This window comes from Homo sapiens, chromosome 19 (assembly GCF_000001405.40).
Source record: "Homo sapiens chromosome 19, GRCh38.p14 Primary Assembly".
NCBI lineage: Eukaryota > Metazoa > Chordata > Mammalia > Primates > Hominidae > Homo > Homo sapiens.
This window is the reverse complement of record NC_000019.10, coordinates 3,355,936-3,371,147: the sequence shown is the minus strand read 5'-3', so window position 1 is coordinate 3,371,147 and position 15,212 is coordinate 3,355,936. Positions and strand designations below refer to the sequence as shown.

General features: G+C 60.3%; 1 protein-coding gene across 5 annotated transcripts in view, besides 10 other annotated features; it reads right to left on the bottom strand.

Moving 5' to 3' along the window:
- NFIC (nuclear factor I C) overlaps positions 1-11,518 on the bottom strand; it is a 109,588-nt gene extending 98,070 nt beyond the window's left edge. For 3 of the 5 annotated variants that reach the window (NM_001245002.2, NM_001245004.2, NM_005597.4), the window contains exon 1: positions 4,482-4,565. In NM_001245002.2, coding sequence (NP_001231931.1) covers positions 4,482-4,511 — 30 coding nt within the window. In that variant the 5' untranslated portion in view covers positions 4,512-4,565. Of the gene's footprint in view, positions 1-4,481; positions 4,566-11,462 lie in introns of those variants that run through there. The other 2 variants (NM_205843.3, NM_001245005.2) reach the window with 1 other exon arrangement.
- Positions 188-237: an enhancer, noted in NCBI's record as "active region_13733". NCBI's record gives its function as "activates an Ori minimal core promoter by ATAC-STARR-seq in GM12878 lymphoblastoid cells {active_cell/tissue: GM12878}" and the evidence as "EXISTENCE:reporter gene assay evidence [ECO:0000049][PMID:35858748]".
- Positions 1,506-1,785: a silencer, noted in NCBI's record as "silent region_9843". NCBI's record gives its function as "represses an Ori minimal core promoter by ATAC-STARR-seq in GM12878 lymphoblastoid cells {active_cell/tissue: GM12878}" and the evidence as "EXISTENCE:reporter gene assay evidence [ECO:0000049][PMID:35858748]".
- Positions 3,557-3,956: a silencer, noted in NCBI's record as "silent region_9842". NCBI's record gives its function as "represses an Ori minimal core promoter by ATAC-STARR-seq in GM12878 lymphoblastoid cells {active_cell/tissue: GM12878}" and the evidence as "EXISTENCE:reporter gene assay evidence [ECO:0000049][PMID:35858748]".
- Positions 4,247-4,396: a silencer, noted in NCBI's record as "silent region_9841". NCBI's record gives its function as "represses an Ori minimal core promoter by ATAC-STARR-seq in GM12878 lymphoblastoid cells {active_cell/tissue: GM12878}" and the evidence as "EXISTENCE:reporter gene assay evidence [ECO:0000049][PMID:35858748]".
- Positions 4,847-4,936: a silencer, noted in NCBI's record as "silent region_9840". NCBI's record gives its function as "represses an Ori minimal core promoter by ATAC-STARR-seq in GM12878 lymphoblastoid cells {active_cell/tissue: GM12878}" and the evidence as "EXISTENCE:reporter gene assay evidence [ECO:0000049][PMID:35858748]".
- Positions 9,876-10,005: a silencer, noted in NCBI's record as "silent region_9839". NCBI's record gives its function as "represses an Ori minimal core promoter by ATAC-STARR-seq in GM12878 lymphoblastoid cells {active_cell/tissue: GM12878}" and the evidence as "EXISTENCE:reporter gene assay evidence [ECO:0000049][PMID:35858748]".
- Positions 10,456-10,565: an enhancer, noted in NCBI's record as "active region_13732". NCBI's record gives its function as "activates an Ori minimal core promoter by ATAC-STARR-seq in GM12878 lymphoblastoid cells {active_cell/tissue: GM12878}" and the evidence as "EXISTENCE:reporter gene assay evidence [ECO:0000049][PMID:35858748]".
- Positions 10,756-10,805: a silencer, noted in NCBI's record as "silent region_9838". NCBI's record gives its function as "represses an Ori minimal core promoter by ATAC-STARR-seq in GM12878 lymphoblastoid cells {active_cell/tissue: GM12878}" and the evidence as "EXISTENCE:reporter gene assay evidence [ECO:0000049][PMID:35858748]".
- Positions 11,516-11,605: a silencer, noted in NCBI's record as "silent region_9837". NCBI's record gives its function as "represses an Ori minimal core promoter by ATAC-STARR-seq in GM12878 lymphoblastoid cells {active_cell/tissue: GM12878}" and the evidence as "EXISTENCE:reporter gene assay evidence [ECO:0000049][PMID:35858748]".
- Positions 11,766-11,895: a silencer, noted in NCBI's record as "silent region_9836". NCBI's record gives its function as "represses an Ori minimal core promoter by ATAC-STARR-seq in GM12878 lymphoblastoid cells {active_cell/tissue: GM12878}" and the evidence as "EXISTENCE:reporter gene assay evidence [ECO:0000049][PMID:35858748]".

The window sequence follows — 15,212 nt, the reverse complement described above, 5'->3', positions numbered from 1 at the left end:
TATAGCAGTTATTTGGCACCTTCTCTATACCAGGTACTATATTGGGTTTGGCACCTCCTGAGCAAGATTTTCAGGCAGATGTGAGGGGCACTCTAGGTCTGTGTGTTGGTGACCCCCATCAAGGCAGATCCGAGGCAGGCAGAGCTGTGTCCTCGTCCGTATGGGTGTCAGGGAGTGTGCACGCGTGTGCGCCCAGCGTGTGCTCATGGATGTGAACTGGTCAGGACTTGGGTGCCCGCACGCTGTGTGCTCAGGGCAGATGGGCACCCAGGTGAGGTCGGCGTGGACACAGGCAGGAGAGTGGGGGGCGGGCCGTGTCCGGGGCAGGAGGCCCAGGCAGCATTTCCCATCCATTTGGTGTGAGACAGGGAGGGAGGCCAGCTCAGAGAGACAGAGAGAGAGAAAGAAGAGGAGGAACAGAGAGAGAGGAAGGGAGGGAGAAAGAAAGAGACAGACAGAGAGAAAGAAGAGGAACAGAGAGGGAGGTAGGGAGGGAGAAAGAGAGAGAGAAGAGAGAAGGAGAGAGGGAGAGAAGGGAGACGGGGAGAGAGAGAGAAAGGAAGAGGGAAAGACGGAAAGGGAGACAGAGAAGGAGAGAGGGAGAGAGGAGGAGAGAGCGAGATGGGGGGAGAAAGGGAGGGAGACAGAGAGAGAGAGAGAGAGAGAGGAGAACGCTGACTCTGCCAGAATCCCAGCTTTGGTGATTTACAGGGCGCTTGGCCCTGGCGCGCAGAGGCACCTCCGCCGCAGAGAGGGGAGGGGGAGAAACAGAGAGAGATGCACAGAGAGACCCAGAGGGAGATACAGCGGGAGAGTGGTGGAGCCTTGTAGAGAGTGAATCAGAGGCCACCAGGCCCCGGGTGGGGGGCACACGGGGAGAGAGCGCCCACCTGCCCAAGCCGCCAGATGGAAAATGGCCTGAACCCCAGCTCTGCCAGCCCCACTGTGCCACCTCGGGCAGGCCCTGGCCCTCTCTGACTCTTAGCCCCTCTCCCGGCACTGAGGGGCTGCAGGCCCCCTGCTCCTGGTAGGCACCCCCCAAGCTCCCTCTAAGAACCTACACTGGGCCTGGGCCCTGCTGCCTCCCCCACCCCCACCTATCCCCAGGGCCCAGGAGATGCTTAAGGAAGATCTAGAAAATCCAACAAAGGTCGGGGGTCTGGGGTGGGAGGACAGCCTCTCCCAGCCTCGGTTACCCTGCTGGAGAAATGGCAGCAAAGCACATTGTGCTCCGAGAGGGCATGGGACGAACGAATGAAGGAAACAACGAACGAATGAGACAGGGACCCGGTGGCGGGATGGAGGTGGCTCGGGGAATCCGCCACGCTGCGGCCAAGAGGGACTTGGCCCCAAACCCGGAATAACTAACGTGGCGGTGGCGCCAGCGGGAGGGAGGCAGGGAGGGAGGCCCAGAGCAGGCGCGGGGAGGCCGGCCTTCCCGCCGGCAGGATTTATGGGAGCCATGGGCTCCACACAGTTCCTCTTAAGAGTAAAAGTGAAAAAGCGCTTGAGTCACCGCTGAGCCCGGCCCGGGGCTCCCAGAATGCCCCAGGGCCGCCAGCACCCACTCCCCACTCGGCGGGCCGGGCCCGGGTGGCACAGAGCGGGCTGGCACCGAGATGCCCCCCACCCCCCGCCAGCCTCGGCTCCCGAGAAGGATCCGGGTCGGATCAGCTAAAAGGGAGCTATTTTCGGTTGGGCTCAGGTTGTAAAATTAGCTGGGAAAAGGGGGAGAGGGAGGCCCAGAGACAGAGAGAGACAGAGAGAGAGGAGTAAGGAGACACATGCAGAGATAGAGAGAGACAGGGAGAGAGGGGGCAAGGGGAGACACGCAGAGACAGAGGAGAAAGGGAAGGTGAGACAGAGATGAAGAGACAGACAGACATATTGGAGAGAAACAGAGACAGAGAGGAAGGGGGCAGAGAGACAGAGACAGAGAAACAGACAGAGACACATCGGACAGACACACAAAGAAGGCAAAGGGAGGGAGAGACAGAGAGACAGAGACACATCAAAGAGACATGCAGAGACAAAGAGGAGAAAGGGATGGTGAGATAGACATGAAGAGACAGAGACAGTGGGAGAGACTGAGACATCAGAGAGACAGAGGATGAGAAAGAGAGACACAAAGAGACCAACAGTGACTGGGAGTGAAACAGAGGCGGGGAGAGACAGAGATGGAGAGACAGGGAGAAACAGACACACACACACACACACACACACACACACACACAGAGTCAGAGCAAGACAGAGAGAAAGAGAGAAAGACAGACAAAAAGAGACCAAGATGAGAGAAACGGAGGGGACGTGATTCGGGAAACTGAGTCAGGCAGCCAGGACTTGGGTGGGAGGCTCCTGCATGGGGCACTCAGGGTCCTTCTGAGTCCCCCAGCCCACCCCACTGGCTACCCCAGACCAGGCTGGGCCTTGGGGGAACAGTGGGGATTACATTCAGGCTGAAGACAAACTGGAAAGGGGGTCCCCAGCTCCACTACAGGGCTGGGGTGGAGGGCGGGGCAGAGAGGAGAATCGCAGGGGAGGAGGGAGCCCCCTGCACTTGGGACTCGCTGTCCCCACTCTGGCCTGGGAGCTCTCTGCCTCTGTCTCTCTGCCTGTCTCTGTCTTCTCATCTCTGTCTCTTGCACGCAGCACCCCTGGATAGTTTTTAGTTTTTAGCCTCTCCGTTTTTTGGTTTCCACAGACAGCCCTCCTGGCTGGTCCTTGCCCTGTTCCTGGAGAAACTGAGGCCGAGTTAGCAATTCTCTGAGGCAAAGCCTGGACTGGGGTTCTTACTAACCCCCAACCCACCCCAGCAACCAGGATGTCTCCCAACCAGCCCTGATGGGGGAATTCCAGGGTGCACAGGCAGCCTTCCAACCTCCCCAGCCTGGAACAGCCTCCCCTCCGCTCAGCCCTCCCAAATGGCTCCTTCCAGCTGGTGAGGACAGAGCGGGGACACCTCAGTCACCCCACAAGCCCAGAGACTTCAAAGGCTGCCCGAGGTCACACAGCGTGCCCACTCGAACCCTAGTTGTTCTTGGAGAACTTCAAAGAGATGCCTTCTTCGGGAACCCCCCCCCCAAAGCTGCTCAGAAAGGGAAACTGAGGCTGGGACAGGGACTTACCCAAGGTCACTCAGGGGATCACAGGTAGGACAGACCTCAGACCCCCTCAGCACCAGCTCCCACATTCCCTGTCGGCTGCAGGGGGCCGGTGAGAAAGACCCTACCAAGGAGCATGCCTGGCGTGGGGGGTCCCTCACTGCACCATGCCCTGGAGCGGAAGCCGGGGACTCATATACTCCCCACACAGTGCTTCTTAAGACGGGCCTGGCCCTCGCTGGAATCGCACCCCCCACGTGCCGGGACTTTACAGTTTGCCCGCCATACTGTCCCCTCTCCAGAACCGGCCTTAGCCGCACCTCACTTCAGGGGAAACTGAGGCCAGAACCTCTCCAGCCTAAAGACACACTGCGTAAGGAGGAAAGCAGCGGTCTAGAAAACGGAACTTGCAGACCTCGGGGTCCCCGGGAGCCTGGGCTGGAAGGAGTCCCCGGGGGGAGCCGCCCCCTCCCCACACACCCCCTCGGCCATTGCACAAGGCTCGGCCCCGGGGCAGTCTGGGAGTGCGGCCAGGGGTGAGAGGCTACGGGAGGGGGAGGGGGAGGGGGAGGGGACGGGGCAGGTGCCGGGCTGGCGAGGGCGTCCGCAGCGCCGCAGTGCCCGGGCCAGACCCGGAGCGCCGGGCCTCCCGCTCCTCCCGGCGGCGGCTCCAGAATCCAGAATCCAGAATCCAGAATCGATGCAGCGAAAATACCGGGACGGTGCTGGGGGGCTTGCAAAGGAGGGGGGACCCAGCCGGGCCGCCGGAGCACCCTTCCCCCTCCTGGGCCTCCAACTTCTCCTGCCCCCTCCCCCTCCATGCACACGTGGGCCAATAACGAGGGAAAGGCGACCGAGGGCCAGGGCGGCCCGCACAACCTTGGTGGGGGGACACGGGGAAAACACATGAGAGGTCCCTTTCTCTCCAGCTGGGGAGACCCAGGGTCCAATCACGACCCCCTAGATTCCTCTCAGAGGCAGGCGGGGGGCTTCCCGCAGAGCCCTTGCTGGAGGGGGGCCAGCCCCCACCCCGACCTTTCCGAGTGTCGGGGCGGGGGTGCGGAGTGCGTCGGTGTGTGGGGGGGGGACGCAAATCTGCAGACCAAGCCCCACATCCGGGAGAGGTCCCGAGAGTCGGGGTTGGGGGTGCTGGGCGGGAGTCCCGCGTAGGGGGTCCGCGGTAGGTAAGGGTGTGGGGGGGGTACCCCAGCCTGACCCATCCCCCCACCGGACCCCAGCCCTCGGCGCGGGGGGCATCCCGGGCAGGGATGGCGGGAGGGACGCGCGCCTTTTTCGTCCCGCCTCCTCCTGCTTCAAAACTCCGGGGCTGGGATGCGGGGGGCGCGGGGGCGCCGGCGGGGGGCCGGGCGAGGACCGTACCTGGGTGAGGCAGAGCGGGGACGAATACATCCCGGGCGCGGCGGGAGGCGCAGGGCCGGCCGGAGCGGGCGCGCTGAACTTACTGAGTCATTTTTCCAAACCACCCCCCCGCCCCCCCCAACCCCCCCCCCCGCCCCGCGGCCGGCGCGCTCTCCTCGCCGCCTCCTCCCTCGGTCTCCCTCCTCCTCCCTCCTGCTCTCCCTCTCTCGCGCCGCCCGCCTCGCTCTCTGTCCCTCTCTCCCTCCGTCTCTCTCTTCCTCTCTCCCCCGTCTCTGTCTCTCTGTCTCTCTCTCTACCCTCTGACACCCTCCCCCTCCCACCCCGAACCTCCCACTTCTCAACACCCAACTTTCAAAGAAACGAGGGAAAAAAGGGCGCGAGCGAGAAAGGAGAGCCTCCCCCGACGTCTCAGGACCCCCCCGCTCCTCCCGTATTTACGCAATGCCCCAGGGCACTAGACCAGGACCCCAGGACTGCAGGGCGACCCCAATTCGGATCAAGCGGAGAGGGGGGACAGGGTTGTTTCTGGACATTGAGGGGCCAGGGGTGGATTTTTAAGGCCCCCCCTCCCCACCCCCCCATCACCCCCGAGCTGGCCGGGAAGTTGGAGGAAAGAGCCAGGGGGGAGGGAAGGAATGAAGAAGTGACGTGCGCAGAGGCCGGCCAGCGCGCCTCTTTCCCCTTAAAGATGTACGACCCTGGGTGCACGGTGAGCTGGTCCCACAGCACCCTGGCTCCCTTCTCCCCCCAGAGCCAGGCAGGGGCTGCGGGTCCCCAGCTAGAGGGGCTTGTGTGCAGCTGTCCCTTCCTTGGCCAGAAGGGCCCAGGCTAACACGGGAGGCTCCAGAATTTGCTCTCTTCACCCAGCACCCAAGGGGCAGGGGAGGGGTGGCCTCGCCTGTGTGTCTCTCCAGCACCCCAGGAGGACGGTGTCCAGGCGGGATCTCCAGCTGGCCAGATAAACCCTTGCAGCCTCCCCCTGGGTATCCAATAATTTCCACCTGCCTCAGGGGTGTGCCCTTTTCACAGATCTCAAGACTGAGGTATGGCAAGTGTGGCTTGGAGCCAGGCCATCTGGACCTGGAGCCCACATTCTGTTCTCCTTCTAGACGTAACAGGGCAGAGACCTGGCCTGCCTCCGTCTGAGCCCCCAGGGCATCTGATGACAGGGCCCCAACCCTCCCCCGGTTCACTCCCTGGATCCTCCCAGGCTAGCTCAGAGGCTGCTGTGTCTCTCATTCCCATCCCAAGGGTTCTCCCCTATAAAGTGGCTTAAAGATGCCCATCCTGTGGGATTGCTGGGGATAAGGACAATGACCTTAGCAGAGCCTTGACCTTGGGTCAAATGTTCACTAAAGACACATTCTTAGAAAGCTTGGCCATTTCACCTCATCTCTCTGAGCTTCCCAAGGACAAATGATACCCTCTCACCAAGCTGGGGCAGGTGCCCCAGGCCCAGGGGCGCAGAAGATACCAGCACCCATTATCCTCAGGCATTACAGGAGAGGAAACTGAGGCCCAGAGAACGGAAGCCACTTGCCCAGGGTCTGACAGGTAAACTAGGAGGGAGCAGAATTCCTGCAGCGTAGGTTCCCTAGGCCCCCCACAGGCTCCCCTCTGCATGACGGTGACATTATTCAAACAGTGCTTAGTACATCACGAACGGTCCATAAATGTGTGTGTCTGTGTATTTTAAACCCACTGTGCAGCTGTGGGGAGCATTTGAATTAAATGGTGAGAAGTGTATCTGGAAATCCACATACCAATATAACGTGAAGCAATTTATTTTATTAAAACACGCTAGGGACACATACAGGGTGAAATCTAAAATTCACAGATATTTAAAAGTTGCAGTTGACTTCAGACACTCCTCCTAGACTTCCAGACCCCGTGCCTTCCACCCTCCCTCCCCTGTACAGACCACCCTGCCTGCAGCCTTCATTCAGCAGCTTAGAATCCTTTGGAAGGTGAAGTTTAGAGAGCAGAGACTGCCCCTCTTGGAACCTCGGTTTCCTCATCTGTAAAATGGCTATAGTAACAGGATGCATCTTGGGAGGTGGGGAAGGTTGGAGTCTTTACATAGCATGTGGGAAGGCTGTGTGAATATTATTGGTGGCGGTAGCTGCAGGGAGAAACTTCTGCAAGTGTACGAACAGCAGCCTATATCCCAGTTTGGGTGGCAAGGGACCCCCGCAGCACACACAGTTGGTTCCCTAAATTGCCGCGTGGGCTCGCTGCTTGGGTCTATGTCTCCTCCAGTCAGCAGCTTCGTCTCTCTGCACCTCGGCTCTCCCTCTGTGAAATGGGGCGACGCCAGCTCATAACCCTCCAGGTTGTAGGCAAGTCAGCAAATACCTGCCCGTGGTTACAACAGGGAACTGTACGTCATAGTTTCTTTAAAAAGGCAATTGGTAGATTGGGACCTGCATGTGGAGGGCCCGGAAGATGGGTGCATGATTTAGCTCCTGGCACTTTCGAGCACAATCTGGCTCATTTTTTTTTTTTTTCAAAGCACTCTCTCTACAGTTATTTCACTCTTCGGCATCTCTGTAACTGTCCCAGATACAGGAGCACAAAAGAGTTGACTGCCACCTATAAAACTAATGCCCACAATTTGGAGGCAGCCATGCTGTCCATCTGTGGGGGACCGGTTTAGTAATCCCAACACAGGCTGGGACACTATGCAGCTGAGTAAAACCAGTGGCTCCCAACTGGTTATGTCCCCAAGAGACAAGTGGGGGGACAGAAAGCTGGAGAGCTCTCCCCCTTGGCACTGTGGACACTGGGGCTGGATCGCTCTCTGGGTTGGGGCCGTCCTGGGCCCTGCAGGGTGCTGAGCAGAGTCCATGGCCTCCACCCACTCCATGCCAGGGGCACCCCCCAGTCGTGACAACCACAAATGTCCTTAGACATGGCTAAGTGTCCCATGGGAACAGAATCAACCCTGGCTGAGACCCCACTGCTGTAGACCCAGCAAGGAAATTCAAGATCTCATTTAGGGTTTTAAAGAGTACACATGTATTTATACAAATATACATAGTATCCTTTACATACACACACATGCACACACACCCACACACACACATATCTCCTTTGGCCGGTTGTAGTGGCTCACGCCTGTAATCCCAACACTTTGGGAGGCCGAGGCAGGCAGATCACTTGAGGTCAGGAGTTTAAAATCAGCCTGGCCAACATGGCGAAACCCCGTCTCTACTAAAATTACAAAAATTAGCCGGGCATGGGCGAGGGTGCCTGTAATGTCAGCTACTCGGGAGGCTGAGGCTGGAGGTTCGCTTGAACTCGGGAGGTGGAGGTTGCAGTGAGCCAGGATCATGCCATTGCACTCCAGCCTGGGCAACAGAGCGAAACTCCATCTCAAAAAAAAAAAAAAAAAAAATATATATATATATATATATATATATATACACACACATACACATACATATACATATGTCTCCTTTATGGAAATACACGAGTATTTCCACAAGTACATCCTTTATGGAAATATACACATATGCACATGTATCCTCTATAAGTGTGTATTTCTCAGTCCTGCAAATGCTCCAACTATAGATGGTAACATTCTGGAGCGGGGTTCCACCCAGGAATGGGGGTGATCAGAAAGATTGGATTTTTTTTCCTCTGGATACAGTTGTATCCTCTTCATATGATCACTAATGGCTTCAGTAATTAAAGGAAAACTTAAAAAGTTGAATGCAATTCACAGAGCAGCTCAGGCAGGGTAGACAGGAACCCCCAGCCCCCCATGGTAACCCCACAGCCACCACACCCAGAGAATAAAGGACATAATCTTGCAGGCAAATGATTACACAGCAGTGCAGTGTGCAGTCAGCCTCCCCTAGCCCCGCACCTGCTCAGCAAGGGGCTCACAATGTCAGCTCCCCAGGAACCTTGCAAGGGTCCCATGTGGTCCCATTTTACAGATGAGAAACTGAGGCTGTAAGAAGGGATGTTAAAGTCAAGTGAGTTAAAGGTCAGATAGGCCGTTGAGGCTGGTACAGATAGACACACACACCACACACTACGACCTACAGAGACACACAGACACACATCGTGCAGACTCAAGCAGCTGCAGACACAGACTCCACACGACACACAGCTACATACACAAAGACACAAATACACGCACAGACTCACATAAAAACAGACCCATATATCATCACAGCCTTCCCCCCACACCTGACCTCAGATACCTCCTCAAAGAGGGGCGAGCAGAGACACACACACACACACACAGACCCACATGGCACACACACAGCCACAAACACACCCTCCCAACTCCCCACAGGACGCTTCTTGACAAGCACAACGCATGGATATAGCTGCCCCCACACAAGTGCAGACACAACCACAAACACATGGGCACTTGTCCACAATCACAGACACACTCCACACAAAAGCACACACTCTTACAAGCACACACACACCCACAAGTGGAACCCCCCGGTATTCCCATACAGGCACACACAGAGTCACATACGCACCATCACAATGACACACAGCACGCCACCTCCCTGCTCCTCCTGCACCAGCTCTGCCTGGAGCTGGGCTCTCGGCCCTGCAGAAACGCGGTGGGGACAGGGAAGGGCAGGAGGGTGAGATGTGGTTGTCTATCCCCCCGCAAGTGCGGTGTTTGTGTCCGTGAGTGTGTCTGCCCATGTGTGTCTGTGCACGCCTGTGTGTGTGACGTCTGTCTCTAGACAGGCCTGTGTGTGTCTATGTGAGTCTCTGTGTGGTTGTGTGTGCAGAGTCATGCAGACACAGGCACCGTGAGGGAGTGTCGTGTGTGTGTGTGTGTAACTATGACTGCATGCACGTGTGTCCCACTGTGCACAGAACCCAAAATGGGGACAGAGGGCCATGCCGTGTGCTGAAGGCCAGGGCATCCAACCGTCCCTCCGGGAGTGCGGAGGGAGATAGCTGTGAGTCTGAGGCTGGGAGTGGGTGTGAGGGATGGTGACAACCCGAGAATGACCTTGAGTGTTGTTGGGGGAGGCCTCTGTGTCATTGTGGGAGGGTTTTCTCTCCTTCTTGACATCCCAAACAGCCCCCCATGATGGGATGTCAAGAAGAAAGCGAGAGAGACCAGCCTGGCCTTGGGCTTTTTATATTTAGAAAATTATATCAAACGCACTGGGGGTGGGGTGGGGGTGGAGAGCGGCGGGGATTTCCCTGGAGGTGACAAAACAGCTCTCTGTGCCCACGGCCTCTGGTCCATTGGGGGCAAGTGCTGGAGGCGGGACTGCGGGACCAGTCCCGGTGCCCCTACGCTCTCCCCAGCATAGGATAATAGGGGTCTCCTTAGCCACCTCCCGGGCCCGTCCTAACCCCTGTGCTGCTGTAACCACCCACCCCTCGGGACTTCCACGGCCTCTCAGGGAGGGGGAACCCCTGCCGCCCCGCCCCTCTCGGGGCAGGTCCCCGCGCAAGCGCAACCCCTGGCGAGCGACGTCTGCGTGCCGAGTGATCGCGTCCCGGCGCCACCTCGCGCCCGAACCTCCAGCCAGGACCCCCTCGGGCCAAGCGGATGGGGGACCCCGAAGGCTGGGGGAAGTGGAGGGGACGTAGGGGAAAGATAAAGGGACAGAGTTTTGAAAAGGTGGAGGGAGCGCTCTTCCTCCGCCGCCCAGGCAGTCCCCAGTTACAGGAAAAAAGGAACTGGGGGAGGCGAGGCCGGGAGTGGAAGGCAGACCCTTCCCTAGGGGGAGGCTCAGCGCCAGTCACTCGCACACAGCAAGCGGCACCCAACTGTCCCCTGGAACGCGGCCACTCGACAGTTCTCCACTCCCTGGCGACCCCCCCCAACCGCCACACACCCACACGGGGACACCCCACGGTCACCCAGGGACACGCGGCTCCGCGGACACGCAGCCCAGCCATAGTTTCACAACACCGTCCCGCAGGGACGCGCGCACAGTCGCCCAGTTATCCAAAGACACAAGTGTCCCGCAGCCGCACAATGCGGGCGGCGCTCACAACACAACACGCGCCAGCACGTGGATGTGCAGACACACGCGGACACAGAAAGCGGCGGAGCCGACGCGCCGGGACCCGCGGCCCCAAGGCAGGTACACTACCACCCCGCCGCGCACACCCCAGACGCTCCCCCAGATGCCAATGCCGGCCCGTTACGGAGCGCAGGGGCTCCCACGCACCCCTCGAGGTGCGCACGACACCGACGCCAGTCGACCGGACACCGGAACCCCAAGTGCAGCCACCGCCGCTCCAGGGCCTGGGGCGCGCCGGGCCGAGACCCGGGGGTCCCTCCCAGCTGGGGACCCCGCGCGCGCGGCAGCGGGGCCGGGGGTCTGCCGAGGGGCGGGGCGGGGGCGGTGCGAGGGCAGGCGGGGCGGCTGCTCCTGCGCGGCGCCGAGCGCGGCCGCCCGCCCGGCTCCAAGTTCAAGGCGCCCGGCGGCGGCCGCGGCGCGCTCTCCGCCCCTCTCCGCAGCGGCCATTTTCCGCTAGCTGGCGCGCCGCGCTCGCCCGGGCCGGGGCACCCCGCGGGGGCCGCCGCGACCCCCGCCCCACGCGCCGTCCCGCCGTGCGCCCCCTCCCTGGCCCGGGCTCCCCCACGGACTGCGCGCTCGGGGGTCGTGCGCCCAGGGCCGCGCCCTCCCGCCTGGGGTCTGGCCCGGGGAGGGGGCGGGGGCCCGGCCTGGGGTTGCGGGGGCCTTCTCCGGGGAGCCCCGCCCTCCTCGCCAACTCGCGGCGCCCGCGAGGGGCCCCCCACTTGGGGTCTCCCGCGGCGCCCCGCGCGCCAGCTCCGCCCCCAGCCGGGGTGCGGGGGGGGATCGTGGGTAGGGGTCCCGTGGCGACTGGCGAGTGGGGGTCCCCGCCTCGAGCCCCTCCTCCGGGCGGCCCCCGCCCCCTGTCCCCCCAGATCTTGCAACTTTCGCCCGGAGCCCACGCACCACCCCAAAAAGTCCCCGGGCGAAAACGAAAGTGGGTGCGGCGACGTACCATGGCGCTGCTGCGAGGAGGCGAGGCCGGCGCCGGAGCGAGCGCGCTCGGTCCCCGGCGAGGGGGGGGCCGCAGGCGGCGGGAGGAGGCGGCGAGGGAGGGCGCGCGGGGGAGGGAGCGAGCGCGCCAGGGAGGGGGCGCGCCGCGCCCGCCCCCCCGGCCCGCAGGACCCTCCCCTCGGCCCGCCCTCCCCCCGGTCCCGCGCACCGCCCGCGCCTCAGGCTGCTCCGCGCCGCGGCCCCGGCTGCGGCGGCTCCGGCTGCGGCTCCATCCCCGGCCCGGCCCGCGCAAGGGGAGGCCCGGGGAGCGGCGGAGGCGGTGGCGGCGGCGGCTGCAGGTCGCGGGGCCCCGGCTGGGCTCGCTGCGGAGCGAGCGGATCCACCTTCGCCGCGGCGCGCGCGCACACACACGCGCACACACACACTCACGCGCAGGCGACTCGGGGACACCGGCGGGCCGGGCCTCCTCGACTCAGCCACGGACACACACACACCGCACACGGACACGCGCAGAGATCCCCACGCGCGGCGCCTACAGCGTGTGACGGACACACGGCCCGTGGGTGTCCGCCGGGCACACGGGGACCCATGCTCGAAGCCGGTGGGGCATCTGGGACACACACCTTCTGCAGGAGGTCAACACAGACGCACACTCGCAGCCTGTGGGGCTGGCACCCCGAGATCTCACAGACGCACAGTCCCAGAAAGACACCCAGACCTCAGAGGGACTCACGCGCCGACCCCCGGGACCCCTCCCCGAGCAGCCCTGGCCGGTGACTGCAGGTGTCCGGGGGACACGCGGCTACACACACGCACAGCAGGGAGACGGGACAGACGGGGACACAGACAGAGACTCCGACACCGAGGGCGACAGACCTGGGGCGGGGGTCCCCTGGGGGTCCCGCAGGGGCTCCAGGCAGGGGGCGGCAGGGGAGCGCTCGCAGCGGCCCCCGTAGGAAGTGGGGGGCAGCGGGCGCCCCCTCCCCCGGTCAGGATTAATGGCGAGGCCTCCGCAGCGGAGGAGGGGCCGGGCCGAGGTGGGTCAGCGCCCCCGCCCCTGCCGCGCGAGCCGCTGCGGGTTGGGACCGGCTGCCGCAGCGCCCCCCCAAGCGCTCTCCCGCAGTCCCCCTCCTCTGACAGCCGCAGAGTAGGCGCCGCCCCCTCGCCCCCACCGGCTCTGCGTCTGGCGCAGCTGGGGGAGGTTGCAGGGGGTGTGGGGGGAGTGTTGCTCCGACCTGACGGGTGAAAGGGGTTCTGCTATGGTCCTTCTGTCTTTCCCCAGTTCCACCCCCCTCCACACACACTGAGGATCCAGGATTTCAGGGACCCCTTTGGAGGAGTGGTTCCCTGCTCCCCCAGGGAGGACGCCAGGGTGAGGGTGAGAGCAGGTGGCACCCCGGGAGGAGAATCAGTTCCCGGAGCGCCCCTTCGGAGCGATGGCTGAGTCTGGGGGTTCTGGAAGTTGAGTCTGGCACTCTGGGAGCTGAGCAGTTCTAGGCGACGTTGATGCCAGCAGCTCTGCCCACATGGTAGGTGCTCAGTAAGTGTTGTCTACGCGAAGGATGTCTCAGCCAGCCCTGAGGCATTTACCCTGTGCCCTCATCTTCAGACGCTGAGGCTTTCCCATTTCATTTCTGCAGTCTTCGCCCCATAGTTCAGAAGGAACCAATGAGGCCCAGAGAGGGGTCAACCTGGGGTCAACCAGCAGGGACACTAATGCTTTCTCCAAGGGTGTGGCAGGCACCGAGGTTTTGCAGGCCCCCACCCCTCCCGCAAACCTGAGGCAGGACCGGCAAGGGAAGGGTTAGTGGGTTAGAGACCCCCCCCCTCCCTCCCCCCTCCCACCCGTCTCTAATCGGCCTCTGCTAATCCGCAGCTTGAATCCTCACCCGCTCCCCTGCCTCTGGGAATTAGGTACCTGGGGGTGAGGAGGGGAGGGGAGGGATGGGTTGATAGCAGCCAGGAAGTAATGAGGGGCGTAGAGACAGTGGAGCACTGGTGTAGCGCCTCTCACCCATTACTTTCCCTACGAACCCTGCAACTGCCTGGCATTGCGTGAAGTGCTTGACATGAAGCTACTCACCCCTCACCGCAGCCCTCTGAAGTGGCTGCTATTACCATCGAGCCCATTTCACAGATGAGGAAACTGAATCTCAGAGAGGTTTAGACACTTGCCTGAGGTCACGGAGCTGAGAAGTGGTGATGGTCGGGAGCATCTAATTTTAGCATCTTTTGTGATCTGAATGGGCTTAGAATTTCCCAGATCATCAAGTCCTGGTTCCTTTTTACTTCACACTTCTTCCCTCAATCTGTCTATTTCCTCTCACATTTTATAACAAGCAGAGAGAAGAAACCAGGCTGCGCTTTCAACACTTTGCTGGAAATTCCCCTAGGCTACATATCCAAGTGCACTGCTTGCAAATTCTGCTTTCTGCATAACTGTAGGCTACAACACAACTAAATTTCTGCCCCTCTACATGAAGGGACCCCTTTTTCCATAGGGGTCAACTTGATGTTCTGCTCTAGAACATTCCCCAGGGACAGCCTGATGAGCAAACATATTTAAAAGGTTCAGCCTTACAGAGACCAAAGAAAGGTGGAAAAACAATAAGAATCTGCCATGGTTTGGCACTCCTCGAAGTCACTGCAGATTTGTAAATGGATAAAACCCGGTACTGGTGAGGATGTAGTGAAACAGGCATTTTCATCATTGCTTGAATGGGTGTATGAATTGTAAAAGCAGTTTGGCTTGTGTGGCACAGGCCTAAGACAGGCTCAGATTTTATGGTCTAAATTTTGGGAGCTTATTCTAAACTTGAGAAAACATATATATATGGGGCCAGGCTCAGTGGCTCACCTGTAATCCCAGTGCTTTGGAAGGCAGAGGTGGGAGGGTTGCTTGAGGCCAGGAGTTTGAGACCAGCCTGGGCAACAGAGTGAGAACTCACCTCTACAAAAAAATTTTTTAAATTAGCTGGGCATGGTGGCACACACCTGTAGTCCCAGTTAGGTGGGAGACTGAGGTGGGTGGATTGCTTGAGCCTTGAGATTGAAGCTGCAGTGAGCTGTGATCACGACACTGTACTCCAGCCTGGGCAGATCACTCCAGAGTGAGATCCTGTCTCAAAAAACCAACAGAGGCCCGGTGTGGTGGCTCACGCCTGTAATCCCAGCACTTTGGGAGGCCGAGGCTGGTGGATCACTTGAGGTCAGGAGTTCAAGACCAGGCTGGCCAACATGGCTAAACCCCATCGCTACAAAAAATGCAAAAATTAGACGGGCGTAGTGGTGGGTGCCTGCAGTCCCAGCTACTCGGGAGGCTGAGGCAGGAGAATCGCTTGAATCCAGGAGGCAGAGGTTGCAGTGAGCTGAGATCACACCACTGCACTCTAGCCTGGGCAACAGAGTGAGACTGTGTCTCAAAATGAAGAAATAAGGGGCCAGGAGCAGTGGCTCATGCCTGTAATCCCAGCACTTTGGGAGGCCGAGGCAGGCAGATCATGAGGCCAGGAGATTGAGACCATCCCGGCTAACACGGTGAAACCCCGTCTCTACTAAAAATACAAAAAATTTAGCCAGGCGTGGTGGTGGGTGCCTGTAGTCCCAGCTGCTTGGGAGGCTGAGGCAGGAGAATGGCGTGAACCCGGGAGGCGGAGCTTGCAGTGAGCCAAGATCGCGCCACTGCACTCCAGCCTGGGCGACAGAGCGAGACTCTGTCTCAGAAAAAAACAAAAAACAAAAAACAAACAAC